The sequence below is a fragment of the Homo sapiens genome, chromosome 1, assembly GCF_000001405.40.
Source record: "Homo sapiens chromosome 1, GRCh38.p14 Primary Assembly".
NCBI classification, from domain to species: Eukaryota; Metazoa; Chordata; class Mammalia; order Primates; family Hominidae; genus Homo; species Homo sapiens.
Window position 1 is genome coordinate 84,621,558 of NC_000001.11, and position 15,602 is coordinate 84,637,159.

At 42.3% G+C, this 15,602-nt stretch overlaps 2 long non-coding RNA genes across 2 annotated transcripts; one reads left to right on the forward strand and one right to left on the reverse strand.

The window, feature by feature from the left end:
* Positions 1-6,672: 6,672 nt before the first annotated feature.
* LINC01555 (long intergenic non-protein coding RNA 1555) lies at positions 6,673-13,463 on the reverse strand. Its single transcript, NR_027379.1, has 3 exons — positions 13,375-13,463; positions 10,053-10,189; positions 6,673-9,330 (listed from the first exon to the last, which is right to left on the reverse strand). It is a non-coding gene; the product is annotated as a long intergenic non-protein coding RNA 1555 (long non-coding RNA).
* On the forward strand, positions 8,919-15,602 carry LOC124904206 (uncharacterized). Its single transcript, XR_007066196.1, has 5 exons — positions 8,919-9,077; positions 9,160-9,297; positions 9,774-9,855; positions 13,717-13,891; positions 15,517-15,602. It is a non-coding gene; the product is annotated as an uncharacterized LOC124904206 (long non-coding RNA).

Below are 15,602 nucleotides of genomic sequence, written 5' to 3' on the forward strand. Positions count from 1 at the left end.
AGAACACAGAACGGCCAAATGGCAGGGAGTAGGGGCTCCCTGGCCTTAAAAACGGGGCCTTGCTGCTTCTTGGTTTGATAAACTGCTCTGGTTCCCAAGAAAGCTTGTCTTTTCCTCCTCAGCTGTTGGCTGGGGGTAAGTAGGTGGCGGTGGTCAGTGGGTCCCGGGAGGAAGAAAACTTGGTCTCAAAGTTCACTTTCATAACTAGAAGGCTCGGGCCGGACGCGGTGGCTCACGCCTGTAATCTCAGCACTTTGGGAAGCCGAGGGGGGCAGATCACTTGAGGTCAGTAGTTCAAGACCAGCCTGGCCAACATGGTGAAACCCCGTCTTTACTAAAAATACGAAAAATTATCTGGGCATGATGGTGGGCGCCTGTAATCCCAGCTACTCGGGAGGCTGAGGCAGGAGAATCGCTTGAACCTGGGAGGCGGAGGCTGCAGTGAGCTGAGATCGTGCCATCACACTCCAGTCTGGGCAACAAGAGTGAAACAACGTCTCAAAATAGGAAAATAAAAAACTAGAATGCTCAGAGAGTATTTCATCATATGATGGAACTTCAGCCCCCATCCCAACCCCTGGACCCATGCTTCTTCCTGCTGAGTTTCACTGACTACATGCCTCCCTCCTAGGCTGTGAGTTCCCGACTGGGGGAACAGTCTGGGCCTTTGCACCTTTTTCCTTCACCTGGCAGAGTGCTGAAGTCTCTTTGGTCACTGTCTTTGTCTTTTTTTTCCTCCACACAAACACTCTTTCATATAGTCATGTTTCTGATTTGCCAATGTCACCCCAGATAAGCACACAAGCTAAATGAAAACAATGTGTTTGCTTTGCACATGCAGTGTCAAAACAATGCACCCCCATTCCTTCCAGCTAGATTGGGCCCCCTAAGTGACACTCTTCCTTATGGAAATTCTGAACCTGCCCCTCTCTGCAGGATGTGGTTAGAGTTTGGATTACAGTCATTGATTTGGGAGTGGTGTATCTACTTCACTGTTTACATGTAGCATCCTAGGCTCTGCTTCTATCTCTCTCTCGCTCTCTCTCTTTCTCTCTTTCTCTTTCTCTCTCTCTCTCTTTCTCTCTCTCTCTCTCTCCCCTTCTTTTCTCCCTGTCTGGTCATCTGCAGCCTGATAGAGGCTGAGGCAGAGAGAAGAGCCTGTAGGAAAAAAACCATCTTTGGTGGTGATGATGATGTGGTGTGTGGAGATACAAAGTCAAATTCTCCAATGTTTCTATCCCCATGAAATGAAGTCTCTAGTGAGATCAACATTGCTCAGCAATGCTTAGTAGAGTATATTTTCCTGTGTGGAAGCATGAGGAAGGGGTGCATTCCCCTTCTGCTTGGTAAAAATAAAGGCATCAGGAAGTATTGGGTTGGTGTAAACGTAATTGCAGTTTTTGCCATTAAAAGTAGTGACCAAAACCGCAATTAATTTTACACCAACCTAATACAAGCCAGCACCTGGGTGACACTGGTAAGACTGGTGGACCATGCCTGGTCTGGCCAGTTTGCGTTTTTAATAGAGTCAGCGAGTGGGGTAGAAAGTCTGCAGTATTCAGTTAAAGGCCCAAGTTCTTCTTAGTCTGCTTATTAGCTATGTGCTTCTGAGTAAATTACCTAACCTCGCTTAAGCTTAGTTTGCTCATCCCAAAAGGAAATAAAAATATTACCTGACAGTTATGTTTCCTGATTGCTGTGGGATTCAAATGAGCTAGAAGGAGGGAAGTTGTTGTCTTGAAGCAGCATTAGTAGATTTTCTAAACTTGGTAGCATTACACCTCCTTACATTTGATTCTCCCAAGCCTGCTGGGTAGCTTGATGGAGGAAACATGACAGAACTTGACTGCACGTAGTGGCAGTAACTCACACTTGCCCAGATTTTGAACTGGAATCATCTTTATTGCAGTTGAAAAACTAGGCTTAGAGAGTTTGAACAACTTGCCCAAAGGAACATATCTTGGCCATGAAAGGGCCAGTACCAGAATGTAGCACCTAAGACTTTTAGATGGTACTTCCACCATCTCCAGTAGAAGATGGGAAAGGAGTGTTCCTTGGGATTGCCCAGGGCATGACTGTCCCCTTGCAAGGGACACAGAGAAATGGGTGGAAGATGTCAGATTCTTAAGTGTTCACTAGTGGGAGGGTGAGCCCATTATTCTCTATGCACTTAGAATCTTTTTCTCTTTAATAATGTTCTTCACATGCCATAACAAAGCTGAATATGCACTTAGAAGTCTTCTGAAAATTTTATAGAGTGAAATTTCAAAATAGACAACTTAATAGGCTGCTTTAATGTTAAATGAGTCACTTAAGATACAAGTTTTCTCTACATTTCTCAGAACTGGTGGGATGATTATCTCTATCAGGGACTGTTTAGAGAGAGATACTCTGACCTGAACCGCTGTAACTATTAATTGACCAGTTTGATGCGCAACACTTTCTGGTGCAGCTTTATTTACCAGTTTCAAAGACTAAGCTCTGAGCTGAGTGGGGACACAGAAGCAGCTGGGTACTTATACTTGACCCCATAGAAGATGGTTATCTAATTCTGACCTGGCTAAGCAACCAGTATGAATTTTTCCATTAAGTCACATAGTTTACATCCTGCCTTGTTCTTTTTTTGGGGGGTGGGGGGTGGGGGGGCGGTGGTTTCCCTCTTGTTGCCCAGGCTGGAGGGCAATGGCGCAATCTCGGCTCACCACAACCTCCGCCTCCCAGGTTCAAGCAATTCTCCTGCCTCAGCCTCCTGAGTAGCTGGGATTACAGGCACCCACCACTACACCTGGCTAAGTTTTTATTTTTAGCAGAGACAGGGTTTCTCCATGTTGGTCAGGCTGATCTCAAACTCCCGACCTCAGGTGATCTGCCTGCCTTGGCCTCCCAAAGAGTTGGGATTACAGGCGTGAGCCACCGTGCCCAGCCACATCTTGCCTTATTCTTATTTGTGCATTTTTTGGCTGTTTAAAAAGTATACACTCAAACATAAGAGAATTGCAACCCTCTTGTTACCCTAATTTGGCCATGTTATCCTAAAGGGCAAGGGCAGAGTCACCCCTTCTAGGATCAAACTGGACTGCAAGGACACCTATCCTCTGCCCCCACCCCCCCACACCCAAATTTCTCTTGGGATACACAATGAGTAAAGAAAGATAGGCCCTCCAAGCTTGAAAATAAGAAGCAGGAACATTTAGAGATGACTTTTGAGGACAGGATAAGGTGAAATACCTCACCTAAAGTCAGAACTTTCACATTAGGATTTATTCGTCTCTTTTGCCCAGGTGCAGAGGATGATAAACAGCTTTCTCACTGCCCGTGCTAAGTGCTCATTGTGTTCAGGGGTGAGTCTTGCAGTCTGTGGCTCCTGTGACTGTGAGCACTGCTCAAGGACCAGTTTGGACACCCAGCCACCGGGAATAGAGCTCAAGCCACCATGCAGTTAATCGCTGTAGCTGAACCAATGTGTCCAGACAAAATGAACTATCTAAGATGATGTTCATGTGCACACAGGCACACACCATGCTGTCCCTGAGGGATAACCCTTTTGCTGTAGGCTTCTTTGAGAACCCCTTTTCCGAGCTACCTTTCTCACTGCAGTTGGTGACAGTGGGGGCACAAGGACATCATGCACATGATCCTGTCCTCAGGGAGAGAAGAAAATGAGGCTCCTAGAGCAAGCCCCGCCAAACTGAGCCAGTGCTAGCTCCGTTTACCCAGATATTAAGTTAAGCCAATTATATAGTACAATAATTCATCTTTTGAAAATTCACTCTCAGCCTTTGGGGAGCTGTGAATAGGATTTCTGCAAAGGTTGTTGTTTAAGGAGAGAGCCTTCTTCTCTCCAGTACATATGAGCAGAGCAAAAGATAGGTAGGGCCTGGAGGCAGCATTTTCAGAGCTTCTACTATCTCTCCTGCCATCAGCACTACTGCCCCCATTCCCCTCACTTTCCTTTGTAGTTTATTAGGGAAAAAAGGGGTTTCTCAGAAGGTGGACGTACATGCACAGGCAGCTTCCAGAAAGTACTCAATGCAACCCTAATATTCTGATTTGGGGTACCTCATTTCTGACCACCCTCCCCCAGCCAGGGTCAGGCAGCAATGGGTTAAGCTAACTATTTTCTGCAGGAATTCCAGGAGAAACGCTTTAGACAACTCCTTCCAAACCTCAATGAGAAGAATATCCTGTGACTTCAATGCGGAAGTGATCAATTTCAACCTGCAGGTAAAAAGCTGCTATGGTTTGAATGTGTCCGCTAAAAGTTTTGTGTTGGAAACCTAATCCCTCTGTTCTCATAAATTGATTAATGGTGGCTCCGCTCTCATGAATGAATGGATGTCACCATCGTGGCTTTTTTTGTGAAAGCAAGCTGTGGCTTTCTTGCTCTCTTGCCATGTCATGCCCTCTGCTATGTTATGATGCCGCAGGAAGGTCCTCACGGATGCCAGTGCCATACTCTTGGACTTCCCAGTTTCCAGAACTGTGAGCTAAATATACTTTCTTTCCTTCATAAATTACCCAGTCTGTGGTATTCTGTTATAGCAACAGAAAACGGACTAAAACAAGAGCCATCCAGTTTGGAGAAAGCCAACACCAGCAATCCATCAGTAGCCTGTGATCCAGGGATATGCGGGATGTAGAGTTACTTCATTGCCATTACCATGGTCTCTGAGGTGGTGAGTTCTGAGCTCCTACAGCACTGCTGCAGTGGGTCATTTCTGTTTCTTGTTTTTTGTTTTTATTTAGTGGGTCATTTCTTGATAGCAGTCTTGCATCTCAGGTGAGTGTTTTTTTCCTCCAGTCCTCACATGGCGATGTTTATGTGCACAGCACACATCCTCCATGCTAATAGTTAAACCATACCTATCTCTCTCAAAAAAACACAACAACAACAACAACGAATAAACTGCAATCGTGTGGGAATAACAGTAAGGATACGATTGAATTGGGCCTAAATTACGTTAGAAAAACAATGCATTCACAAGCATTAATACTGTATCGTAGTTAATTTCCTGCCACATAGCTGTGGGTGAGAACCACTGGCCTGGTCCATGGGATTGGGTTTCTGCTCAGATGCTGTGAGGACTAGAACCTGAACATCACCTGAATTCCTGACCACTTCCATTGCCAACTCCATCTCCTGGTGGAATGAACCCTTTGCCTTGTATTTCCAAATGCAGGTTGGCATCCTACACTGCAGATTGGGTGGGCCACATTGCCAATGCACTTTCAGCCATTTGTTACAGACCTCAAAGCAAATGCAATGAAAATTTCATATTTCAAAGTCCATTTAACTTATAATTAAAGAGCTTCACCTAACCTCCAATTGGAAGTGATTAATTTGGAATGTAATGGCATCCTAAATGACAAATATTAAGCCAATAATCTAATTCTATAAACACCTTCCAAACAATAAATATGTTCAATTAAAATGATACGTTCATGGAAAGATGTTGGTATTAGGTAGAACCTATCTGTGTGAAAGGACATTTTTAAGGACAAAATATGTAAAATCTCATTGCAAGTTGACATTAACCAATTAAGATTTGCAATTAATTTTGATGGTAGAGAAAAGTAACTTTAAAACTGATTACTGCTATTTTGTTATGAATTTCATCAATAAGAAAATTGTGGAAATTTGTTTTCTCTCTTATTATGTAAGTAACTACATTAATATTCTCGATTTTACCTCTCGGTTAGCAAAGCTTAAAATATTTATTATCTGGCTCTTGAGAGAAAAAGCTTGCTAACCCAGCTGTAGTCTAATGTATCCTATGTACCTGGAACTGTGTCTAACATATAGTAGACACTCTGTCAACATTTATTGTATGACTCTGTTCTGAAATAAATAATAAAAGAGACTAAACATTAGGAATCAGAATGCTTCTTTAACAATTTTAAGTAAATGATATTCTTCTTGTAACAATTTTTCAAGAGGTCTAGAGTTGTAATCTAAACACTGTCAGTGGCACTAGGGTTCACTTTATATATTTTATTATTTTAAGACATAATCAGTTGGACATAAATCATAAATAACAGCTTTTCAGAAAAACAAGCCAAGTATGTTTAATGTATACATTGAGCATAAAACATATTCCAGTTTCATAAACTTTAAAATGTTAAAATATTCACACACACACACACATATATATATATATATTAGTGTGTGTATATGTATGTATGTATATACATGAACAAAAAATTAGGAAGTCAGATGATATTTCACATGTTCCCTGCAGTTTGGGAATAACCTTTAAGTCCAGGTAAAATAACTATCCCCGAGTCATCTAAGGACAGGAGCTGCAGTGTCAGGAGAATAAGAGTTTGTCTTGTCTCTTATCTAAGCCAAGGAAGAGGCTGTATATTCGATGTGATCGGAGTCCCCTCCACTTCCCAGAACTTGGCTGGGGAGGACGTACTTATTAATAAATAAGTATATTATATATTATGTTAGAAATGATCATTACAATAGGAAAAAAGATAAAGCAGAGAAAGGTAAAGGGATATCAGGAATGTCAGGGGTCGGGGGGTTGGTTTGCAATTTGAAGTAGGGTGGTCAGGATAGGCCTCATTGAAAAGTAGTAAAGACTTGAAGTAGAAAAAATATAAATGGCTAGTGAAAATGTGAAAAAAAATCTTCAAGTTCAGTAGTAAAAGAAAAAAAAAGACAAGAAGAACAAGAGAATATTTTATTTATAAAACCAGCAAAGGTAACAGCATAAAAAATACCCAATAGTTCTATCGTGTAGTGCTAGTGGAAATGTGAATTAATAAACATTCTTTCTGAGGATCATTTGACAAAACATAACAAAAGCCTTAAAAATATGCGTATTTCTTGGTTTAACAATTCCAATTTCAGGAATTTATCCTAATCAAATAAATAAGCAAGTATGCAAAGATATATTCTTTAAAAATCTTTATTGTCTAACTAGGAAAAATTAAACAATTATTAACCATTCATGCAGTGGCCCACCAAGCAACAACTAATAATGATGTAGATCTATATGTATTGACCTAAAAGATCCCCACTAAACATGTGTGTGTGTGTGTGTGCGTGTGTGTGTGTGTGAGAAACCCCCTGGAAACTCTCTGGATACTTGCAGGGTGATTTGCCTATATTTTTAAAGTTTTCTTCATGGAATATGGAAATACCATGGGTCGAAAGCAAATGCCATTTGGGGATAAGACTGCCATGCAAAGGACCTTGGACTTCCTGCAGGAGAGAAGAGGGTCATTGCTAGGAGACTCCCCTCATGGTGTCCATGAACATGGAGCCCTGACACCATGTTGTTTCTGAAAATGAGCCAACGTTGACATGGTCCTGGCCCACTGGGTGTTGTTCACTCTGTTGATTACTTTTGGAAATTACTTTAGGTAAATGCCATGCTTGACAGTTGGTTTTTAATTTTAAACACAAGCTGCCATTGATTTGCTTTGATTATTCCACGATTTCAATCACTTTCCCAAAACTTTGTCTTCCTTAATTTTCCTGTATCAACCAGATGAAGGTGTTCACAGAGGGATACTCAGAACAGTGTATTAACAATAGCTCTGTCTACGAGTTGGCCGTTAGACACACTTATAAGGGATGCTGATGTTCCAGGGAAGGATCCTGTGCTAACTGATAGGTGCCAAGCGTTCTGGTTTTCACTCTGCCTTACTGGGCCTCTCAAGTTCACAAGTGTTCTCAGAACAAATCCTTCAAGAGCCAATCCTTCAAGATGGATCCCAAGTACCTAACTGGGCCAAAATTTTAAAGAGAGCCAAGTGGCCAGGCCATTTGCTGACTAGAACTCATATACTCGGAGTTTCCCTGGAAACCCCCAACCTCAGTTTAACAGTGGGGCTTTCAGAGCTCACCTAAAGCAGCCAATCAGAGCTCATCTGAAAGAACCAATTAGGGCTCAGTTCTAACCACTAATCAGAATGCAGCTGCATCAACCAAACAGAACTAAGCAAATTTAAAGCCTTCATTTTCATAAAATGGACCTGATTGGCAACCTGAGCATGAACTTTTACTATAAAACCAGGATCCTCCCTTTGTTCTCTGGAAAGTAACTGGTTTACACAGAAAGTTTGTGAACTGTTCCTGAATGAAGTCTTTCTTCCAAATTTCTTTTCAGAGAACTTTTGTTCACAGATCCATGCCAGGGCAGCTATGCTTTTATTCGATTCACCCAATGGGGCACATGCCAGCTAAATTAGGCCCCTCCCCCGAAATCTAGCCCAAGATAATGAAATGTGGAGATTAACTTAAAATTAATTATGGGGCGGGGGCAGGTGTGGTGGCTCACACCTGTAATCCCAGCACTTTGTGGGATCCCAAAGGAGCCCAAGGCAAGCAGATTGCTTGAGCCCAGGAGCTTGAGACCAGCTTGAGCAACATAGTGAAACCCCCTCTCTACAAAGAATTTTTAAAAATTAGTTGGGCATAGTGGTTTGCGCCAGTGATCCCACTGGGGTGGTCCCAGGAAGCTGAGGTGGGAGGATCTCTTGAACCTGGGCTGGTTGAGGTTGCAGTGAGCCAAGATGGCACCACTGCACTACAGCTTGAGTGACAGAATGAGACCATGTCTCAAAACTAAAAATAAAATTAATTATGGGGGTAAAGATATCATCATATCAAACAGTAAACTCCATGAAAAGACTGAAATCAACCTGCTCCCCTGGCAAAACTCTAAATGACAGGCAGGAATAGTGGCGCGGTTTGTATTTTGTGAGCTCTGTCCTTTCTACTTCAAAAAGGATTTCCAGTGACAATAGATATGACTTAAAATACCAAAAGGATCAATATTCTAGAGAGTTGGCACATGAAATAGAGAGGGCTGACTTAAGAGGGCTGATTCTCGCTCCCTAATTAGTCCACACCCTTTGAGTGGGCCAATAGAATACAGCAAAGGTGATGGAATGGACGTGGTTATGTATGTGATGGACATGTCCATGATTGCCTGCACGGGATTGCATACATGAGATGGTAGGATGTGTCTTGTTGGAGTCTCTTGTTGCTGGCTTTGGCAAAGGAAGCAGAAATGCATGGACCACCTCTGTGGACATAGTCAAGTGGCAAGGAATTGCAGGTGACCTCTAGGATCTGAGGGCAGCTCCCCCACCCCGCCCCACAGCATAGCTAGAAATAAACTGAAGCCCTCCATTCTACAGCTGCAAAGAACCGAATTTTGCAAACAACCTAGGTGAGCTTGGAAGCAGGGTCTTTCCCACGGAGCCTCAGTGGAGACCACAGCCTGGGCTGACATCTTGATTGAAGCCTTGTGAGATCCCCCCAAGCAGGGGACCCAGGTAAGCTGTGTACAGGCTGCTGACCCACAGGAACTGTGAAATAATAATGTGTTACTATAAGCCTCCAAGTTTGTGGTAACTTGTTAATGTTGCAATAGAAAAGGAATATAGTGAGCTATGGGGAAATGAAAGCTCCAGAAAAGGTATAGGTGCATTGAGATAAACAGATGGTTAATTAAGTCAACATCACTGTGCTATAGGGAAACACAGTTTTGATTTTATCTTGGGGTCTTTGACTTTCTTCTCTGTGTTCACATAGCATTTTTTAACATGCTACTTCTCACATGGTAACTATTTTAGTGTCTGTTTCACCAAACTAAGTTTCTTAATAATAGCAACCTTAGCATGGAAAAGAGGATGGAATTTAATGACAACAAAAAAAATATTCCTATAAGTACTACTAGAAAATAAGTTGCTTTGGCTTAATGGAACTAAAGTGTTTTCCCTTTAAATATTCTTTCTGGGTCCACTCGTAGAGCTGTGAAGTCCATTACGAAAGCCTACGTACCTGCGGCTATTGAGGCCTTGAAATGTGGCTGGTCTGAACTGAGATGTGCTGTAAGTATAAAATATACACTGGATTTCAAAGATTGAGTATGAAAAAAATGTAAAATCAGTTGGTAATTTTACATTGATTATAGTTTGAAATGATAATAGTTTAGATAGATTGGGTTAGATAAAACCTATTATTAAAATGAATTCCACCTGTTTAATTTTACCTTTTTTAACATGGCTCATAAAAAGTGGAAACTTACCTATGTTGACAGTGTTGCGTGTCTAACAACAGGTGATCTAAATGGTCGGGTCCTGGCTGAGCCACAACTACAGTCACTTGGGCATTGGGACCCAGCATTTTCCATGGCAGGTCACCATCATGCCAGAAGAGCTGTTTCTGAAGCGAAGAAGCATCAATTCAATACAAATCCAGCAACAGCTGTCCATTCAACATCCCAACCTACATTTTTCTCTCTCAACCTTACATATGTTCTACCATGGTTTAGGTGGATACCAGAGTCCTGATCTTTCAGGTGTATTTCTGATCTTAAATATCAATTTTGCCCTATCATTCTGATGAAATACACATCTGATGAAATTTTTGAATAAGAACATATATGCTTACTTTTCTATGTCGTAGAGCATATTGGGTTTTTAATAATCTATAAATGAGTTAATTCTATTTTTTCTCTCTTTTTAGCTCCAGGCATTTTTTTAAAGTTTTAATTTTAAAAAGGCACAGAGAAACCTAGATTTTGGAGGCCCAATTCATATTGCATTTCTTGCAGAAAGCCTTTTTATACTAGTATAACCAGGAGATATTACACTCAAGCTGCTGTGAACAATTAACTTTCTGGCAGGTTACACATGACCATTATCACCGTCCTCTAAGGACCATAATGTCAAAAACAGTGGACTTCGGCCGCCAGCAGAAACTTGTTCTAGATATAACAGCTGCCCAGCACTACCGATTATGAGACACACCAATCAGAGCGTGGTTACTAAACAGCTGGGTACTGCTGGTGGTCTCTCCCCAGGCTCTCCAGGGAGCACTACAGGACTTCCCCACAGGCCCACATTCACCCAACATGGCCTTGAGCTGCCGAGGGACACCACCAATGATGGCAGTACAGACTCATCATTAGGAGTTTGCCAGGGGCCAGTTTTAGTTCTTCTCTTCCTAGGATAATTCACCCATTATCTAGAACTAACCTGATTAAAATAATGCTAGTGCCTCTGTCCATTTTCTTGATATTAATAATGGTAGGGATGAATAAACCTTCATGTCAATTAAATGTAGAAAACAGAAATGAATTCTTCCTGAGGTCCAGCTTAGTCATGTGTATGACAGTAAAAGATTTGCCTTCTAATAAGGGCAATATATTGAGTCCTACAATGTATCTCAACTCTGAAACTAATTTTCAATTAGGATATACTTCCCAATTTCCTGAAAAGCATGCATATGTCAGAAAGGTTCCCAGTATAAAAGTGTATTTTCCCAGATGGCTCATGATGGACCACATGCTCAGCTTGGAGAGAAAGAGGAAATTTACAAAAGCATAAAACGTGGTTCTGTTTTTCTCAGGGACCTTAGTTAAGGCAGAAAAATAAACTCATACAGCAACTGCAAATGAAAGAACTTCGTACCCACACACCCAAACACCAGGATTGGTGCATTAGTCTCCTAAGAGCCCTTCTTGCCCCCAGATCTGTTTCCCTTAGGTCATTCTCAGAACTGCCAAGTGAATTATTATTTAAAGTGTGAGTCATCTTTTTACTCCTCTGTATTACATCCTTCAGTGTTTCCAGGAAATGCCTTCAGGATAATGCCCAAGCTCCCCTTGAGGGATCAGATTCCAGACTATCTTGCTGGTCTGGTGTCTGGTCCCCTGCTTTGCCTTTTATGCTACCCAAAACCCCACTGTGAGTGGTGCCCTGGACATATCCCTCCTGGTTCACTCCTACTTATCCTTTAAGATACAGCTCAGGACACAAAACCATCCTCCCACTCTCATGAGGTACTGAGGAGTTCCCCTCTGCTGCACTCTCTCCAGGGAGATATCCACTCAAGATACAATCAATTACCTGGGTGTCTCCTTTTATACTGAGTTCATGAGGGCTCGGGACACAGCAGGTACTCAATAAATATTGGTTAAATTAACTTAGGAAATGCAGAGGAACCCTCCTTAAAGTTACTAATGACCACAATACTGCCAGCGTTTTTCTATATATTGTTTTCTTTATAACATTTGAACTTCCTTGGAATTCTCTCCTTCCTAAGGGTGGCTTTTTTTTTTTTTTTTTTGAGACAGGGTCTTGCTCTGTCACCCAGGCTGGAGTGCAGCGGTGCTATCACCACTGCACTGCAGCGTCAACCTGACCTCCTGGGCTCAAGTGATCCCCGCTTCAGCCTTCTGAGTAACTGGGACTACAAGCACACCACCATGCCTAGTTAATTTTTGTATTTTTTATAGAGGGAGGGTTTCACTATGTTGCCCAGGCTTGTCTCAAACTCCTGGGCTCAAGCAATCCACCTGCCTCCGCCTCCCAAAGTGCTGGGATTACAGACAAGAACCACCATGCCTGGCCTTGATATCTTCTTGATATTGACTCTCAACTCTCTGTCTCTTCACTCCATAAAAGAGCCTTTTCTTCCATATTTGCCTTTTCTTTTTTCTTTTTCTTTTCTCTTTTTTCTTTCTGAAGTAGAGACAGGGTCTCACTCTGTTGGCCAGGCTGGAGTGCAGTGGTGTGATCATAGCTCACTGCTGCCTTGAACTCCTGGGCTCAAGCAAACTTTCTGCCTCAGTTTCCCAAGTAGCTGGGACTATATGCATGTGCCACCATACCTGCACATTTGATTTTTGAATGCCAGTGATACCCAAGTCTCTACCTTCTGCTTCTCATTCTACCATCTGTCTCTTTTTTGTGACCTCATGTATGCCCCTAGCTTCAACAGCCACTTATGTATTGGCTCTCAGATCTCAATATCTATCCCAGACCTCTCTGTTGAGCTCCAAACTTATATATCCAATTGCCAACAGTAGGCATTCACATGGGTAGGCACTGCATACCTACCTGAGGAACCCTAATAAAAACCCAAGTTCATCCACACGAACTTGAATGGCTCAGAGACCCTTAAATTCAATATGTCCAGAACAATTCATTATCCCTGTGTCAGGGGTCCCTAAGATCACCCTTAAGCTTGATGAACTCACATGAACTAGAAAGACTCACAGGACTCAGAAAAGCTGTTATACTTATGGTCATGATTTATTACCGCAAAAGGTTACAGATTAAAATCAGCAAAGGGGCAGGCACCTGAGCAAAGTCTTGGAAAAAGCAAGCACAAACTTCCAGGTATCCTCTCCCAGTGGAGTCACAGCAATATGTGACAATACATGTGAAGTGTTGCCACAGAAGTTCACCCAAGACTTGGTGCTCAGGATTTTTATTGTTTTTATTGGGGGTCATCAGGTAGGTATGCAGTGCCTACCCAGGTGACTGATCTCAGCTACTCAGACTCCAGCCCACAGGCAAAAAAGGCATTCACCATAAATCACATTGTTAGGATAAACTTACCTAGTCACACCGGTACAGCATGGCCCGAGGCCTCAGGCATGCAAAATCACTCTTAGCAGGCAGAATGTGTAAGACTCAGAGGTCATTTTCCAGTCCTGAAGACAGACCTTTGCTGGGTTAACACACAGGCAACCCAGGTCTGCTGACTAGACTATTTCCTGCTCAATCCCCTAAAGCTGTTCTTCTGTAAGCCCTTTCATCCACCGCTATCTGAGCCAGAGATTGTTTTACTTAACACCGACATCCAATCAGAGTCTACCTGTAGGAACATGCATTCCTCTCAATCACTTCTTGCTTGGATTACTGCAACCTGGTATCATCTCCACTTTGCTTTCTTTTCAGCAGTTCTCCATATGGAATTAGAATTGTGATAAATGCTATGACAGAAGGATATGCAGTTAAAGCATTTGTAATAAATGCTTTAATAGAGGTATACTCACAATGCTATGACAAGGAGAGAGAGGGAACACTCTGGGTCACAGTTGTGCTTGACCAAGCACATCACTAAGCCTTCAGGGTAAGTTCAAAACTTCTTGAATCTGAGACCCTTTTAACCTGGCTCCTCTCTACCCCTCCCACTGTTCTCCCACACCACTTTGTTCTTACAAAGCTATTTGTAATTTCCCTGGAGGTCATTTGGTTTCATACCTCTGATCTTGTATGTTCTGTTCCCTCTTCAATACTTAACTCAAGCATCCTCTCTGACCTCCTATTCCGCAGGCTAAACATGCTTCTCCCCCTCTTCCCTGCCTCAGAGCCCTCCAAAACCTTTATTGGAGCACTTACTCAGGTGCCTTAAGTGGCCCATTGGCTTGTTTGCCGCAGTAGTTTGTTAGTTTCTGAGGGCAATGGCCAAGTCACCTTCCATGTTAGAATCCCAGCACCTAGCATAGCAATCCTAATAAGTACTCAATAAACATTTGCTGAATGAATAAAAGGGAGAAAGTTCAATTCTGAGAGCAGAGTTGTGACTGCCTCCCCACAGAGTCAGAAAAAGCTTTATAGATGTAAGAACCATTTAAGTTGATATTGAAGGAAAATAAAATTTCATCAATTTTTTATTTGCACATAACCAAAATTGTATTGAAAAACACCAAAATAGGAGATCACTGCTGCATACCTTACAAAATCAAACACACTTACTTATCTTGGTAGATGAACCAGAATTACTGAACTTATGATAAGCCTTTCTGGGACATAACAAATTCAGGATGTTGTGTGGATCATTAGTGTTGCTTTCTTTTAAATGAACACTCTTCTGTGAGCTTGGTGTTTCATCCTGTAGGCTGGCACAACACTGTTGAAGAACCTACACAAAGATCCACTGTCTGAGTGTAACTGCCAAATGGGTTCATTTTGCCCACTGCCTATATAGAACCAATTTATCAAGACAGAGGCACTGCAACACAGAAAGAGTTTAATTCACACAGAGGCAGCTGAACAGGATACTGGAGTCTTATTTTTACTCAAATCAGCATCCCTGAAAATTTGGAGGCTAGGGTTTTTCAAGGATGGTTTGGCAGGCAAGGGAATGGGTGCTGCTGATTGGTTGGGGGTGCAATCAGAGGGGTGTGCAGAATTTGCTTCTTGGTGGGGCCACAGGACTGGTTGGCAGGTCCAAGTGGAGCCATGGTAGTCAGAAATACAAAAGCCTGAAAAGACATCTCAGAAGACCAATCTTAGGTTCTACAATAGTGATGTTATCTGCAGGAGTAATTGGGGGAAGTTGCAAATCTTGTGACCTCCAGAATAATGGCTTGTAATTGTTTAGGTCTACCCCTTAGCAGAGTTCGTGCTCCTCTCATCCACCTAGCCTGGTGGTCTTTCATTTGCTTTACAAAGGTGGTTTAGTTTTGGGGAAGGGCTGTTATCATTTAAACTATAAATTTCTCCCAAAGTTAGCTTGGCCCAAGCCCAGGAATGACTAAGGCAGTCCGGAGGTTCAAGGCAAGATGGGAGTTGGTTAGATCAGATAGATCCCTTTCACTGTCATTGTTTTTTAATTGTTATGATTTTTGCAAAGATGGTTTCATGGGCATGGCTGAAAAACATGGTAATCTTGTGGCAACTAGGACATGTTATATCCACAAAGTAAGAATTTGAACTTTTCACTGGCCATTTCTTTTCTTTTCCTTTTCCAAGGATGGATGCAGTAAATCTCTAGCCAAAGGCCATGTTGATCATTTCTCAAGCTCAGTCCGTCCAGACCTGTCGGGCAACACCCCTAG